General features: G+C 51.1%; 1 protein-coding gene across 20 annotated transcripts in view; it reads left to right on the forward strand.

Moving 5' to 3' along the window:
* The window catches only part of BCORL1 (BCL6 corepressor like 1), a 77,759-nt gene that overhangs the window by 26,283 nt on the left and 35,292 nt on the right, over positions 1–16,184 (forward strand). For 18 of the 20 annotated variants that reach the window (XM_005262453.5, XM_006724777.4, XM_047442344.1 and 15 more), the window contains 3 exons: positions 5,983–6,073; positions 6,355–9,618; positions 14,390–14,555. In XM_005262453.5, the coding sequence (XP_005262510.2) occupies positions 5,983–6,073; positions 6,355–9,618; positions 14,390–14,555 (3,521 nt within the window). Of the gene's footprint in view, positions 1–3,912; positions 4,069–5,982; positions 6,074–6,354; positions 9,619–14,389; positions 14,556–16,184 lie in introns of those variants that run through there. The other 2 variants (XM_047442347.1, XM_047442346.1) reach the window with 2 other exon arrangements.

Genomic DNA, 16,184 nt, shown 5'->3' on the forward strand with positions numbered 1-16,184 from the left:
TGATCCGCCCGCCTCGGCCTCCCAAAGTGCTGGGATTACAGGTGTGAGCCACCTTGCCCGGCCGTTTTTATTTTTTATTTATTGATTTATTTATTTTGAGACAGAGTCTGGGGCTACAGGCGTATGCCACCACACCTGGCCAATTTTTGTATTTTTAGTAGAGACGGAGTTTTACTATGTTGGCCAGGCTGGTCTCGAACTCCTGACCTCATGATCCACTCACCTCGGCCTCCCAAAGTGCTGGGATTACAGGTGTGAGCCACTGCACTCGGCCGCCTCTCTCATTTTTAGAGAAGGCACTGCTCCTTCATGCTTGCTGGTGTTTTTTTGTTGTTTCAATCCATTGACTGTTTAAATTCAAATATACATCAGATAAATCACCAAGACACAGAACAATATGGCTTTCCCTGGGATTCAAGATCTGACGTTTCTTGGGTAAATCTTAGAAATGTGTGTGCGCATATAGGGGAGTATTGGTAATTTGAAGGGAAAAGGAATGGAAGTCTTTGTGTTTATCTACTTTGTTCTTCTGTTCCTAACTGGAGAAGTATATACTTGTCTGAGGTCAAGGTTAGCAGAATAGACCTTTTTATTTTCTTAAGCCATTAGTGCCTGATAGCTTAATGTTCTCTGTACTGAGGAACAAGTTAGAGATGGGCTTAAAAGGAATTTAATTTTAGGATAAAAAGAGTCAAGACCATGGAAAATGAGATGAAATTCTTAGGTGCTCAGGAAGAAAAGTGTTTTCCTTTACATATGAAGCATGTCCTCAGATGATCACTAAGAGATGATCTAGGGAAAGGCAGGGTGATGATAATGATTTGCGTAAGTATTCATTGGCAGGTCATGTTGACCTAGTTATAAGTAGTTGAGACTTTGATGCAGAAATCTGGACTAGAGCCTTCAAAAGACCAGCGGGGCCGGGTGCTGTGGCTTATGCCTGTAATCCCAGCACTTTGGGAGGCCGAGGCGGGTGGATCACCTGAGGTCAGGAGTTCAAGACCAGCCTGGCCAACATGGCGAAACCCCGTCTCTACTAAAAATACAAAAAAATTAGCCAGGCATGGTGGTGTATGCCTGTAATCCCAGCTACTGGGGAGACTGAGGCAAGACAATCAGTTGAACCCGAGAGGTGGAGGTTGCAGTGAGCCGAGATTGCACCACTGCACTCCAACCGGGGTGACAGAGCAGGACTCCGTCTCAAAAACAATAAAATTAAATAATAATAATAAAAGAGGCCAATAGACAAGTTACCTTAGTTCACCATCTACTGTAAATCCCTGCCAAGAAAGGAGCAGGAAGTAGGCTCAAAATCTGATTTTCCCTCCATCTTGTTTTTTGTTTTTGAGATGGAGTCTTGCTCTGTTGCTCAGGCTGGAGTGTAGTGGCACGATCTCGGCTCACTGCAACCTCCGCTGCCTGGGTTCAAGTGATTCTCGTGCATCAGCCTCCTGAGTAACTAGGATTACAGGTGTGCACCACCATGCCTGGCTAATTTTTGTATTTTTAGTAGAGACAGGGTTTCACCATGTCACCCAGGCTGGTCTCAAACTCCTGATCTCAGTCTGTCTGCCTTGGCCTCCAAAAGTGCTGGGATTACAGGTGTGAGCCACTGCACCCAGCCAGATTTTCCTTCCTTCTAAACCTGTGCCTAGTGCTTAAGAGGACATTTTTTTTTTTTTTTTGAGACAGAGTTTAGCTCTTGTTGCCCAGGCTGGAGTGCAATGGTGAGATCTGAGCTCACCGCAACCTCCGCCTCCCGGGTTCAAACGATTCTCCTGCCTCAGCCTCCCGAGTAGCTGGGATTACAGGCATGCGCCACCACACCCGGCTAATTTTGTATTTTTAGTAGAGACGGGTTTTCTCCATGTTGGTCATGCTGGTCTCGAACTCCCGACCTCTGGTGATCCACCTGCCTCAGCCTCCCAAAGTGTTGAGATTACAGATGTGAGCCACCACGCCCGGCCTAAGATGACCTTTTAAGTGTTGTCACTTTTGATCTCATCCACCCTTTATTGTCACCTTCTTGCTACAGTCTAGGCCGCTACAGCCTAGACCATGCTATCACTGGTTTCCAAAATGTAATCTCACCTTATTTAAAAATCATTTTCCTTGGCCCTTTACAACTTGTAGAATTTAGGAATTTGGGGTACAAAGCTGTGCCTGGGGTTCAACTCTTAAAGTGATGTTTTAGAGGCCTGCCAGCTTTGGCAGCTGCAATTGAGGACTGTAGAACAGGAGGCATGGGCTTGCGGCTGGCCCCAGGTGGCCGTCTCTAGGCAAACCTACAGCTAAATGTGTCTGCTTGCCTGCTTGCATCCCTTCTAGGATTAATTCATGCCTTCATTCAACAAACATTTATTCAACATAATGAGAGCAAACCAGTAGTTCTAGTACATTGGTGGTGAGTGCCCTAGAATTGCATGTCCGGGTCCAGTGGGAGTCCAGATGCAAGATTGACAAACCTCCTGGTGGGAGAATAAGGAAAGGCTTCCCAGAGGCAGTGGCATTTGAGCCCAGGCTTGAGGAATGAGTAGGAGTTTGAGGTGAGAGCTGGTATTTCCCTGAGACAATAAGAGCACAGTGTGGCTGGGCACGGTGACTCACGCCTATAATCCCAGCACTTTGGGAGGCCGAGGCAGGTGGATCACCTGAGGTCGGGAGTTCGAGACCAGCCTGACCAACACGGAGAAACCCCGTCTCTACTAAAAACACAAAACTTAGCTGGGCGTGGTGGCGCATGCCTGTAATCCCAGCTACTCGGGAGGCTCAGGCGTGAGCCCGGGAGGCAGAGGTTGCAGTGAGCTGAGATCGCACCATTGCACTCCTCCAGCCTGGGCAACAAGAGAGAAACTCTGTCTAAAAGAAAGAAAAAAAAAAAAAAAAAGCACAGTGTGTTTGGGGAAGGTCCAAGTTGGAATGAAGGCAATCTTGGGGTACTGTGGGACTCGAACCAGGGAAAGTCTCCCAGGACTGGAAGGTAAGGAGCCTGGTGTGTGCTGGGTGGTATATTTCTCTTACGGGTAGTCTGGGCCCAGCAGGAACTGAAGAGGGTCCGGTTTGACAGTGGTGCTAGCCCTTAATAATTAGGGAAATGGCCCAGAGGGGTCATGGCCATTTCTGGTTTAAGTTCCACAAAGCCTTGAACATAACAGCTCTGCCTCCTCTGTGGTGGGAAGAAACAGCAGGATTGATTTTCAGTCCTGACTGAAGCCTGCTATGACCTCTGTTCCCTCCTGCCGCCCGCCTCCGCCAGCTGCACCCTCATAACCTTGCCTGGTTGACCCAGCTCTTCCCGGGCCCCCTCCCCTGCAAGTTACTCCTGTCCCAGGCTCTTCTCTCAATGGAGCAAGTTAATGTTTGCTTAGCTCTGCCCACCCCTCTTCTCAGAGGATTTGAAACACGGCTGCATGACATTTTGCAGCGCCTTCGGGGCTGGACTCAGGTGTGGGTATGGCTGGAGTGGCCAGGACTGCTGTTGCTTGGCCTGGTTCTGTGGTTCTCTGGCAGCTGCCTTCGACGGCAGGGATTCTGCTTTCGAGGTGTCATTTCAGGCAGGGTGGGAGCTTGCAAGGGGAGAATGAGGATGCAGCCCACTCCCTTTTGTATGGCCAGGAGGGGAAAGAATGTAAATAAATAGCACCTTCCCATGTGGGGTTGCTTGGGGGAAGTGCTGCTTGTTTCCCCTTGAGTACTCCCCCTAAAACCGTCCCTGGCAAGTCTAGTGGGAACACGCTTCCCCCTGGCCCAAGGCTGGGCATAGGTCTCGCTTTTGTGGTCTCTTAGGAGTTGATGTGAAAGTATGTTTTCCCTTTCCTTCAGGCCCTCCCTCCCTCCCCTTCCCCGAGACCACCCTGACTGCATCTAAAGCCCTTGCCTCTCCTTACAGTCATTTCTGTTTGTCACCAACAGTCACTTCCAGCAGTGGAGCCCTCCCACTTCTGCCAGTCCAACTGCCTTTTAAAGGGAACAAGCCTTTCCCCCTCGGTTAGCCCCTTCTGGATCCCTGAAAAGATGGGGAGAGGCCCGTGGTGATCCCCCTTGCCTTTTTTGCTTCTCTTGCCCCAGGTACAATTTTGGAGTCCCTGTTTCAGTGGGAGGGAGGAAGTTAGCAGGGCCCTCCCCCTTCTTGTTGGGGTTGGCTCCAGCAACCTGACTGCCCTTTGGCTAGGGTGACTGGGGAGGCGAGAGCTGGCTTCTTCAGGGCTGTCTTCAGGAGCTTGGGGTGAGCCTCTAAAGAAGGGAGGCAAAAATTAGCCAGGCGTGGTGGAGCATGCCTATAATTCTGGCTATGCTGGAGGCTGAGGCAGGAGAATTGCCTGATTCCAGGAGGCGGAGGTTGCAGTGAGCCGAGATCGAGATCGTGCCACTGCACTCCAGCCTGGGTGACAGAGCGAGATTCAATCTAAAAAAAAAAAAAAAAAAAAAAAAAAAAAAAAAGAGGGAAAAAAGGAAAGAAAGAAGGGAGGTCACCTCAGGCACAGTGTATTTCCCCAGGGGCACACAGAGCAGTCCTGTGCCTTGCCCACCCAGGAAACGCACTGCAGCGTCTATGTTGGGGTTTTATTCTTTAATCTAAACCTCCTCCTTGGCCACTCCCACCCACAGCTCCCAAGGGCAGGGGGCAATAGTTTTTTTTGGTTGTTGTTGTTGTTGTTTTGAGACAGGGTCTCACTCTGTCGCCCAGGTTGAAGTGCAGTGGTGGGATCTCGGCTCACTGCAACCTCCGCCTCCCAGACTCAAGCGATTCTCCTGCCTCAGCCTCCCAAGTAGCTGGGATTACAGGTGCCTGCCATCACGCCTGGCTAATTTTTGTATTTTTTAGTAGATATGGAGTTTTACCATGATGGCCAGGCTGATATTGAACTCCTGACCTCAGTGATGCACCCACCTCAGCTGGCCTCCCAAAGTGCTGGGATTACAGGTGTGAGCCACCATGCCTGGCCTAATAGTTCTTGCTGTACTTAAAATACCAGGGGAGGGAGGCAGTCTGATGCCACCCTCTCCCTTTTTTTTTTTGTCAGGATGTACAATTTTCTATGATGCTTACCTGAAATTTGGAGAAGACTTTAAACAGGGGGAGATGCATTTGAGTTTTCCTCCTTTGGGACCCAGCTCTCTGGCCTTGAGCCCTTTTCTCTGGGACATATGAACCTGAATTTGGGGTCTGAGGCTTTTCGGACAGGAGAGAACAAAGTGGTGCTGGGAGACTGATGGGGGGGCAGGGAGGGGTGCTGGCAGGAGATAGGATGTAGGCAAGGATAGAAGGAGGGTAGAAGGGAGGGTGTTGCCTAGAACTCTAGAAAAAAGGGGGCAGTGTCTCCTGGAGGGAAAAAAGTAGTATTCTTAAAATGCCTCTCAGCACCCAGTGACCTGGTGGCCTCCAAGTGGTATCATCACCAGTGCTAATAAACATGTCTCTGCTCTAGGCAAGACAGGAGGTGAATAGGTGACGATTCAGATTTAGACCTGAAAACACAACAGGGGTTTATTTGTTTTAGAAGAGGATTACCCATATGACACTTTCAGCCAGCTGCCCTTAGAGACTTAAAATAAGATTGTATTTAAAAGAAAAATGGGTTTTGCATGCCTTTTGAGGCATTCAGTGGTTCTCATGTCTCCCCTTTGAGCAATGCCCTGTACATCCTGGATGGTCATTTTGGCAGGTAAGCTCCAGGGAAAAGGTAAAAGTGCTAGGGTGTCCACACTCCTGGCAAGAGCCCTAGAAAACAGGGTAAACAGTCCAAAGAGGGGGGTCTAGTCAGACTGGGCTCTGGTAGGGACTTGCAAAGCTAGGTGTGGCGCCTCCGCTTTGTAACCAAGAACCCCCAGTTCCTTGTAATCCCCCTCACAAGTTACTACAGGAAGTGAGGTAGGAAGGTTTTATGGGGACCCAGGCAGGCAGGAGGCATTCTGGGGAAGGTGGTGTTGGCTCAAATCCTGGGCCTCATGTCCCTTCTCTGGTTGTATCTTCCATGCTAGAAGAGCACCTCTTTCTGATGAGGAGTCAACGACAGGCGACTGCCAGCACTTTGGATCTCAGGAGTTTTGTGTCAGCAGCAGTTTTTCCAAGGTAAGAGGCTTTATGGAGCCACGTGCTGTCCACCAAAGGATGGAGCTGAGCTGCCTGGGAGGTGTGCCCAGCCTGCCATCCCAGGAAGTGGGCAGGAAGGGACAGGGTCTCTCCCAGGAGTTGGTATTGGTGGGACACAAATTGGCTGGCTGCCCTCTGCGTCTTCCGAGACCTGGTTGGTCGAGTTGCAGAGAAGACCAGCAGTTGCCTCTCGGGCCTCAGGACACTTGCACCATCTGCAGGGAGCTGGCTGAGATGTGCATGCTATCCTGTCGTTGCAGGTGGAGCTCACGGCAGTTGGAAGTGGCAGCAATGCCCGGGGGGCAGACCCAGATGGCAGTGCTACAGAAAAACTTGGGCACAAGTCAGAAGACAAGCCTGACGATCCCCAGCCAAAAATGGACTACGCTGGGAACGTGGCAGAGGCTGAGGGCCTCTTGGTGCCCCTGAGCAGCCCAGGAGACGGGCTCAAGCTTCCCGCATCTGACAGCGCCGAGGCCAGCAACAGCAGGGCCGACTGCTCCTGGACTCCACTCAACACCCAAATGAGCAAACAGGTTGACTGCTCACCCGCCGGAGTAAAGGCTTTGGACTCTCGGCAAGGTGTTGGAGAGAAGAATACTTTCATTTTGGCAACTCTGGGAACTGGAGTCCCTGTGGAGGGGACCCTGCCCCTGGTTACCACTAACTTCAGTCCTCTGCCAGCCCCTATCTGTCCCCCTGCTCCCGGTTCGGCCTCTGTGCCCCACTCTGTTCCAGATGCATTCCAGGTTCCCCTCTCCGTCCCTGCCCCAGTCCCCCATTCAGGGCTTGTTCCAGTCCAAGTTGCCACTTCGGTTCCAGCTCCTTCCCCTCCCTTAGCACCTGTCCCGGCTCTGGCTCCAGCGCCACCGTCAGTGCCCACGCTCATCTCTGACTCGAACCCCCTTTCTGTTTCGGCCTCAGTCTTGGTGCCTGTGCCAGCTTCTGCTCCCCCTTCAGGCCCGGTTCCCTTGTCGGCTCCAGCTCCTGCCCCGCTTTCAGTCCCAGTTTCAGCTCCTCCCTTGGCTCTCATCCAGGCTCCTGTGCCCCCTTCAGCTCCGACCTTGGTTCTCGCTCCCGTCCCCACTCCGGTTCTGGCTCCCATGCCAGCATCCACGCCTCCAGCGGCCCCTGCCCCTCCGTCTGTGCCCATGCCCACTCCAACCCCATCTTCCGGCCCACCTTCTACCCCCACCCTCATCCCCGCCTTTGCTCCTACACCGGTGCCTGCACCCACCCCAGCCCCCATCTTTACTCCAGCCCCTACACCCATGCCTGCTGCCACGCCAGCTGCCATTCCCACCTCTGCACCCATCCCGGCCTCCTTCAGTTTGAGTAGAGTGTGCTTTCCTGCAGCTCAGGCACCAGCTATGCAAAAAGTCCCCCTGTCCTTTCAGCCAGGGACAGTGCTGACCCCGAGCCAGCCGCTGGTATATATCCCGCCTCCAAGCTGTGGGCAGCCACTCAGTGTGGCCACACTGCCAACCACTCTAGGGGTTTCCTCCACTCTTACGCTCCCTGTCCTGCCGTCCTACCTGCAGGACAGGTGTCTCCCAGGCGTGCTAGCCTCCCCCGAGCTCCGTTCTTACCCGTATGCATTTTCTGTGGCCCGGCCTCTGACTTCGGATTCCAAGCTGGTATCTCTGGAGGTGAACAGGCTCCCCTGCACTTCCCCATCCGGTAGCACCACCACCCAGCCTGCACCCGATGGGGTCCCTGGGCCTTTGGCAGATACCTCCCTTGTTACTGCTTCTGCCAAGGTGCTTCCAACTCCACAGCCTCTGCTGCCAGCCCCCAGTGGGAGCTCAGCCCCACCGCACCCCGCCAAGATGCCCAGTGGCACCGAGCAGCAAACAGAAGGGACTTCCGTTACCTTCTCTCCTCTTAAGTCACCGCCACAGCTGGAACGAGAGATGGCCTCTCCACCTGAGTGCAGCGAGATGCCCCTTGATCTGTCCTCCAAGTCCAACCGCCAGAAGCTTCCATTGCCGAACCAGCGCAAGACACCCCCCATGCCTGTGTTGACCCCCGTGCACACCAGCAGCAAGGCCCTCCTCTCCACAGTCCTGTCTAGGTCTCAGCGCACAACCCAGGCTGCCGGTGGCAATGTCACCTCCTGCCTGGGCTCCACTTCCTCGCCCTTTGTCATCTTTCCCGAGATCGTGAGGAATGGGGACCCGAGCACCTGGGTGAAGAACTCAACTGCACTGATCAGCACCATTCCTGGCACCTACGTGGGAGTGGCCAACCCAGTGCCTGCATCCCTGCTGCTGAACAAAGACCCCAACCTGGGCCTCAACCGTGACCCCCGCCATCTCCCCAAGCAGGAGCCCATCTCCATCATTGATCAAGGAGAGCCTAAGGGCACTGGTGCCACGTGTGGCAAAAAGGGCAGCCAGGCTGGTGCTGAGGGACAGCCAAGCACAGTGAAACGATATACTCCAGCCCGCATTGCCCCTGGGCTGCCAGGGTGCCAAACCAAGGAACTCTCTTTGTGGAAACCCACGGGGCCGGCAAATATTTATCCCCGGTGTTCAGTCAATGGGAAACCTACCAGCACCCAGGTCCTGCCTGTTGGCTGGTCCCCGTACCACCAGGCGTCTCTGCTTTCCATTGGCATTTCCAGTGCCGGGCAGCTGACCCCCAGTCAGGGGGCGCCCATCAGGCCCACCAGCGTTGTTTCGGAGTTTTCTGGTGTGCCATCTCTCAGCTCCAGCGAAGCCGTGCACGGACTTCCTGAGGGGCAACCACGGCCTGGGGGCTCCTTCGTTCCAGAGCAGGACCCTGTTACAAAGAACAAAACTTGCCGGATTGCTGCCAAGCCTTATGAAGAACAAGTCAATCCTGTCCTCTTGACCCTCAGCCCTCAGACTGGGACCCTGGCACTGTCTGTTCAGCCTAGCGGTGGGGACATTCGAATGAATCAGGGGCCTGAGGAATCAGAGAGCCACCTCTGCTCTGACAGCACTCCTAAGATGGAAGGCCCCCAGGGGGCTTGTGGCCTGAAGCTGGCAGGAGACACGAAGCCTAAGAACCAAGTGCTGGCCACCTACATGTCCCATGAGCTGGTCCTGGCCACCCCCCAGAACCTGCCTAAGATGCCTGAGCTGCCTTTGCTACCTCACGACAGCCACCCCAAGGAACTTATATTGGACGTGGTTCCGAGCAGCAGGAGGGGCTCCAGCACAGAGCGCCCACAGCTTGGAAGCCAGGTGGATCTGGGGCGAGTGAAAATGGAGAAGGTGGATGGTGATGTGGTCTTCAATTTAGCCACCTGCTTCCGGGCTGATGGCCTCCCAGTGGCTCCCCAGAGGGGCCAAGCTGAAGTTCGGGCTAAGGCCGGGCAGGCTCGAGTGAAACAGGAAAGCGTAGGGGTCTTTGCTTGCAAGAACAAGTGGCAGCCAGATGATGTGACGGAATCTCTGCCGCCCAAGAAGATGAAGTGCGGCAAAGAGAAGGACAGTGAAGAGCAGCAGCTCCAGCCACAAGCCAAGGCCGTGGTCCGGAGTTCCCACAGACCCAAGGTGAGTGCTGAGCTAAGGTCCAGGGTGGGGCCGAGATGCCGCTGGTCTACTTCGTGCCATGGATAGCAACCTCCTGTGACCCCTACCCTGTGACACAGTGCTGTTGGGCAGCTGTGTGAACTGAACGGATTGGAAGGCTTTTGTAAAAGTAATAATGACCTGCTGTCCCCTCCCTAGGTCACATTTTCCATATACGGTGTCTCAGCATGGGGAGAGGCTGGCTTGTAGTTTGTAGGATGTGGGAAATGATTCTGTCCCTGGGGTAGGGAAGCCATTGTCCCAGATGAGATCGGAAAGCGGAAGAAGGTATTGGTGAGGGAAATCAATGAATAACAGGCTCTTCCTTGAATAACCATTCTTCCTTTTCCTTTACTGAGAGAACACTGGCCTTGAGAACTTAGGGATGGGGAGAGCAGGGGCCTCTGACGGGGTTGTTCCTTTCACCACTGGTTGGGGGGCCTGCTTAGGATTTGCTGGGAGCCTTGTGGGGTCAGAGCCAATTTGGCTTCTGTGCTAATCAGTTTCCTACCCGCTCGAATGCTTGAGGCAGCAGCTTTGGGTTTTGGCCCACTGGGGATTGGATGGGCAAGGCAGGTTGGGTGTCTGGGTGTTGGTCTTGACAGGCTATGGATGGTGGCAGAGTTCTAGGCAAAAAGGTGGGCCAGGAGCACTTGATGAGAATCCCCTGGTCCCCCAGAAGGGACCAGAGGCTACTGGTGATCCAAGGAGAATCTTGAAACATTTGAGGATAGGGTTTATTAAAAATCTAGAACAACTTGAAGTTCTGTTAGCAAGCTTTCAAGTTGGATGTTCATGTACACTAAGGGACAAAATTTCTGGCTAGAGCACTGTGAATTTGGCTGTGGCACAAGTTTATGGTCTTTTTTGGACCATAGACCATTTTGAAAAGCTGGTGAGAGCTATGGACCCTGTTCCCAGAAATGTGACCTCAGAATTTTGCCAATAATTTTAGGGGGTTCATGGACCTGACCTCTGCCCCATCGCCCAAAGCTCACCCAGGGACTGCAGGTTAAGAACCCCTGGGATAGGTGTTTGGGTGGATTTTAACTCACAAACCTCACAACCACCCTGGTATGTCAGAGACACGTGAAGTAGGAACGTGGGTCATGACGCAGTAGAGCATATAACGTTTGGCAGGTAATTGCCATCTGCGCTCGGTGGTAATAAGAATAATAATTCATGTCGTTAGAGTTGTGTTTTTACATTTGTTATCTAATCGTTACAGTAACCATATGAGGTGAATGCTACACCAATCTACAGGTGAGAAAATAAATGAAACAGAGGCTCAGAGAGGATACATTACCCAGTTACACAGCTACTAACTTGCAGAGCTAGAACTCAGACTCTGGTCTCTGGTTCCAAAGTCCATGTTCTTCTTCAGCTATACCATATTATCTTCCACTCTCTTTTTGTTTTTTTTTTTTTGAGTCAGGGTCTTGCTCTGTCACCCGGGCTGGAGTGCAGTGGCTCGATCACAGCTCATTGCAGCCTTCACCTTCTGGGCTCAAGCAGTCTCCCACTTTAGCCTCCCAAGTAGCTGGGACCACAGGTGTGTACCACTACACCTGGCTAATTATTTTTTGTAGAGACGAGGTCTCACTATGTTGGCTAAGCTGGTCTCGGACTCCTGGGCTGAAGCGATCCTCCTGCTTCAGCCTCCCAAAGTGCTGGGATTACAGGCGTGAGCCACCTCACCTGGCCATCTTCTACTCTCCGCCCATGGAACTGTTTCACTGAATGTTTTGCAAGTTTTTGTTGCATGGCTACTGTATGCCAGTCCTTCCCAGGCAATGGGAATACCTCTTCAGGAGGGTGGTATCATAGATTGATGAGGAGTATGCTCCCTGGAGCCAGACACGGAGCCTGGGTTTGAATTTTGGCCCCACCTCTTCCTAGCTGTGTGCTATTAGTCAAGCTACTTAATCTCTATGGCCTTCAGTTTCTTAATCTATACACAAGACAATAATAGTATCTACTCATAGAGTTGTGAAGATTAAATGAGATGATGATATAAAATGTCCACAATAGGCAAATCCATGGAGACAGAAAGTAGACTAGTGGTTGCCTAGGGTTGGGGAGGATGGAAGAGTTGGGGAGTGACTGTTTAATGGGTATTGGGTTTCCATTCAGGGTGATGAAAAAGTTCTGGAGCTAGATAAGTAGGGATGGTTACATAGCTCTATGACTATACTAAAAACAATTGAATTTTACACTTAAGTGAATTGCATGGTATGTCTTAATAAATTGTATCTCAGTAAAGCTGTCATTTTAAAAAAGATTAAAGAACGTGATATACATAAGTGTGTACAGTAGTATCTGGCACATAGTAGGTGTTCAGTTAGTGTTAGTGGTTGCTGTTATTGTTAGCATTACAAACAAAATAGATGTGGCCCCGCCTCTCATGAAGCTTATGTCTCTCAGATGACTCAGTGACAGGTGGGCACTGCCCTATCCTATATTAGATGAACAGTTCAGTGGGCCCACTATCAAATGCAGAGGGCAGAAATTAAAATGACAAGATCAGGGGCCTGGAAGCAGCTCTTTGCAACTGCCTGTAAGGATTTAGTAAATGTCTATTTTTTGGGAGTGCAAATCACTTCGTTCCTTCTTTTTTTTTACATGCCACCTTCCTGAGAAGGAAACTGTTGATCAGCAAACTAAGATCAGGGGTTTGTTTGAAATAGCCCCTTTCAGGGCTTGGCCAAGAGTGAAAATAGTCTCCTGTTGCCAATACCACCTGCCCAAGGCCTCTCAGGATCCTAAAGGGCCTTCTGCATCACCAGCAAAGAGAGAGAGTTCTGCTTCATTTGGTGCTGGATGTATTTTATTGTCCTCTCATTCCTTGGAAAGCTCTTTGGAAAATATTTCAAAACTGTTAACCAGAATGTTCATCTCTCACGGTCTCCCCATCCTCCCAACTTCATGCATAAGTTGGAGTGTGCGAAATATTTTTATTCCTGACCTCAGGTGATCCGCTGGCCTTGGCTTCCCGAGGTGCTGGGATTACAGGCTTGAGCCACCGCGCCCTGCTAGATGTTCTGTTTTACTTGTTTTTGTCTTCGGAAGTAAAAGTTAATGATCTGCATTTGAAAGAGCCAGCTAAGAATGATATTCAGAAATAAATAGGACATGTTCAAATGTATGTGCATTTGACTTTATTCCCCCTGACTTAAAATAGTTTTTCTCCAGCCGTACCTGAAGGTTAGTTTTTAAGCAGTAGTTCCTCATCTTCCTCTTTCCAACCAATGCTTTCCTCCTCCTAACACTTTGGTTTGTAGGAACTGGCAGCAAGCCAAGGGGGAAACTGAACTTGAATTTTTAGCTCAGGCCTCTGCTGAAAATAAGAAGCAGGAAGAGTTCATGGGATAGGAGGAGTCCTGGAATTTGATGGGTAGTGGTGACTCCCTGTCCCTGGAGAATTAGGAGGCCCCAGCCCCCGAAAATGTTCCATCAGTAAGGTATGTGCCATCCCCTTAGCTGGAGGTACACCACGATAACCTTCTAGCAGGCGAGGCATGGGTCAGCTTAGGGGAAAAACAGCTCAAGCAAGTTTAACCCTTCCTTTCCTCCTCGGACCTGCTTTTATTGTTCCAACGTTTTGCTTATTCTGCACTCCCTGCATACTAGAATACTGGAAATCCCTACATTGCCCTATTTCTTGTTTAGTGGCACAGAGAGACCTCAAAGCTCGTGAGAATACGTGACTGTTAGGCTGAGAGTGTCCTTGCAGTGTGTGAGCACAGCCATTGTGCCTCTTAGATGTGCCAGGCAGTGGGCGTGGGAGAAGCTGAGCTGAAGCAGCCGAGGAAGTGATTCAGGGAAGATAGGTAGCGAGAGCTGATGCCCAGAGGCCCGGGCTGGGGGCCAGGACCCCCGGGTCCTAGTCCCAATTCTGGGTCTTTCTCACTGCAAGCACAAATGTGCTAACTTGCGGGTTGGCCTGGTAAGTGGCAGTCCCTGAGCCAGTGGACACATGGGATTGTGTGTTACCCTGGACAAGTCATTCAACCCTTTGTCTTGGAGCCTCCGTTTTCTTATCTGTTCAGTGGGGATAATATTAGCTTCTCCTCCCAGGGTTGTGGGGAGGATAAAATCCAATAATAGAGATGAGAGCATTTGGAAAGGCTGAAAGTGCTACAGAGTATAAAGTGGCATTATGAATAATGCTTGGGCCTTTTCACTGGGTTTTATAAATATGAGGATATTTGAATTGCTCCTGTGTCATGTTTTTCTTCTTGCCTTAGTTGAATCTATTTTCTGGTATTAATTTACACGTGAAAAGAGACAATTTTTCTTGAGTTGGCCTGTACTGAGAATTATTTTCAGTTGTTGGTGCAATACCATTCACAGTGAAGTTATTTGAACAATGTAGTCTCCCAACTTGCAGAAGAGGCATTTTGTTTAATGCCGGTCTCTCCATTGGTGTTTGGGTACAGAGAGTATGGGGCCTGACTTTGCACCTTTTAAAATGACTTTGGGTGTTTATTCACTGGCTTTTGAACGCAGACTCTGTAGACCTCTTTAAAGTGATGGGATGTGGACGCCTATGGGGATTAGCTGGGGCCCTGGACTCAGTCCAAAAGAGCCCCTGTCACCCACTCTGGAAGGCAGTGCACGGCCCCTTGCCCCTGGTCCCCCACTCTGGGCAGCTCATGCCTCTAGGTCAGAAACGGGACACATGGCTCAACCCCTGGAGAGCTTTCTTAAGAAGCAAAACTGACCTCAGACCTGACCCTCTACCTCTCCACAGTGCCGGAAGCTGCCCAGTGACCCCCAGGAATCCACCAAGAAAAGCCCCAGGGGGGCTTCAGATTCAGGAAAAGAGCACAATGGAGTCAGGGGAAAGCACAAGCACCGGAAGCCGACAAAGCCGGAGTCCCAGTCTCCAGGAAAACGAGCCGACAGCCACGAGGAAGGTAGGCCCCGCGGCCCTGGCCCTCTGGGCTGGGCTGCAGAGGGATCCCCAGGGCACAGTGGTGAGGGCAGAGGGGCTCAGGCGCTGACTCCTTCACTCTGGAAAAGTGAGACTTCTTCACTGTGGAAAGAAGATATGATTGACCCCTCTGAAGTCTAAGGTGAGCGAGCAAGGATCGGGGGCCCCTTCTGCTCCTCCTGGGTGCTAGAATAAGGCTGAAGGAAGTGGTTTTCCGACACAAACACCAGGCCCACAACACAGTAGCCGACCCATTTCCCCGCGATGGGTCTAGGCTCAAAGAAACAAGTTTAAGGAGAATTTAGACAAAAACCACGGAATGGGGGTTCATTACGCTGTCTTCTTTGGGTATACTGGAAAACTGCTATTCTGAAAGGACAAAAATAAATAGCTAGTTAGCTAGGAGAGTTTAGAGAAATCTTAAACGTTTATTATCATTTAGGGACACACAGGATATCTGGGATGACGGGGCTGGTATGTGTCCCTAACCTGTCCGTTTTGCCACTAATAGTTTCTGGGCACCCTTATCAGGGAGAGAATCCCCAGCATTCCTGAGCATAGGAGTCCAGGTTCATGGTCTTGCCCACCTGACGTGACTATGACCTGCCTCTTCTGGTCTGTTCTTTTTTTTTTTGAGACAGAGTCTCACTTTGCTTCCCAGGCTAGAGGGAGTTCAGTGGCACAATATCGGTTCACTGCAGCCTCAACCTCCTGAGCTCAAGTGATCCTCCTACCTCAGCCTCCCGAGTAGCTGGGACCACAGGCATGTGCCATTACACCTGGCTAATGTTTGTAGTTTTGAAGAGATGGGGTTTCACCATGTTTCCCAGGCTGGTCTTGAACTCCTGGGCTCAAGCCATCTCCCTGCCTCAGCCTCCCAAAGTGTTGGGATTACAGGCGTCAGCCACTGCGTCCGGCCTCATCTGTTCTTAGCCGTTTTTTCTCTGTTCACTGGCTCCTTGTTCCTATCTTCCCACCTCACTCAATCCTCCAAGATTCACTGAGGTTGCCCTCCTCTGGGACCTGCTCCAGCTCAGTTAGAACTTTGTTTATTTTCTTTCTTTCTTTCTTTTTTTTTTTTTTTTTTTTTTTTTTTTTGAGATGGAGTCTCACTCTGTCACCCAGGCTGGAGTGCAGTGGCACAATCTTGGCTCACTGCAAACTCTGCATCCCAGGTTCAAGTGATTCTCCTTCCTCAGCCTCCCAAGTATCTGGGACTACAGGTGAGTGCCACCACGCCCGGCGAATTTTTGTATTTTTAGTAGAGTCGGGGTTTCACCATGTTGGCCATGCTGGGCTCGATCTCCTGACCTCAGGTGATCCACCCACCTCGGCCTCCCAAAGTGCTGGGATTACAGGCGTGAGCCACCATGCCCAGCAGAACTTTGTTGAGGTGCAGCAGCCTCAGAGTCCTATGGGCAGTGGGGCCTCCTACTTTCCTACTTTCTGGCACACCATCACATTGATACTGTGCACTGCCTTTTCTGGTATCAGCAAAAGCGACCAAACTCTCAGTTTTTAAAAACCACCTGGAAACACTCATTGTCTACAAGAGACACATATGTGATGGCCACGTAAGGGGAGTGAATAAATGTAACCCAGATTAACCACA

The sequence above is a fragment of the Homo sapiens genome, chromosome X (genome assembly GCF_000001405.40).
Source record: "Homo sapiens chromosome X, GRCh38.p14 Primary Assembly".
NCBI lineage: Eukaryota > Metazoa > Chordata > Mammalia > Primates > Hominidae > Homo > Homo sapiens.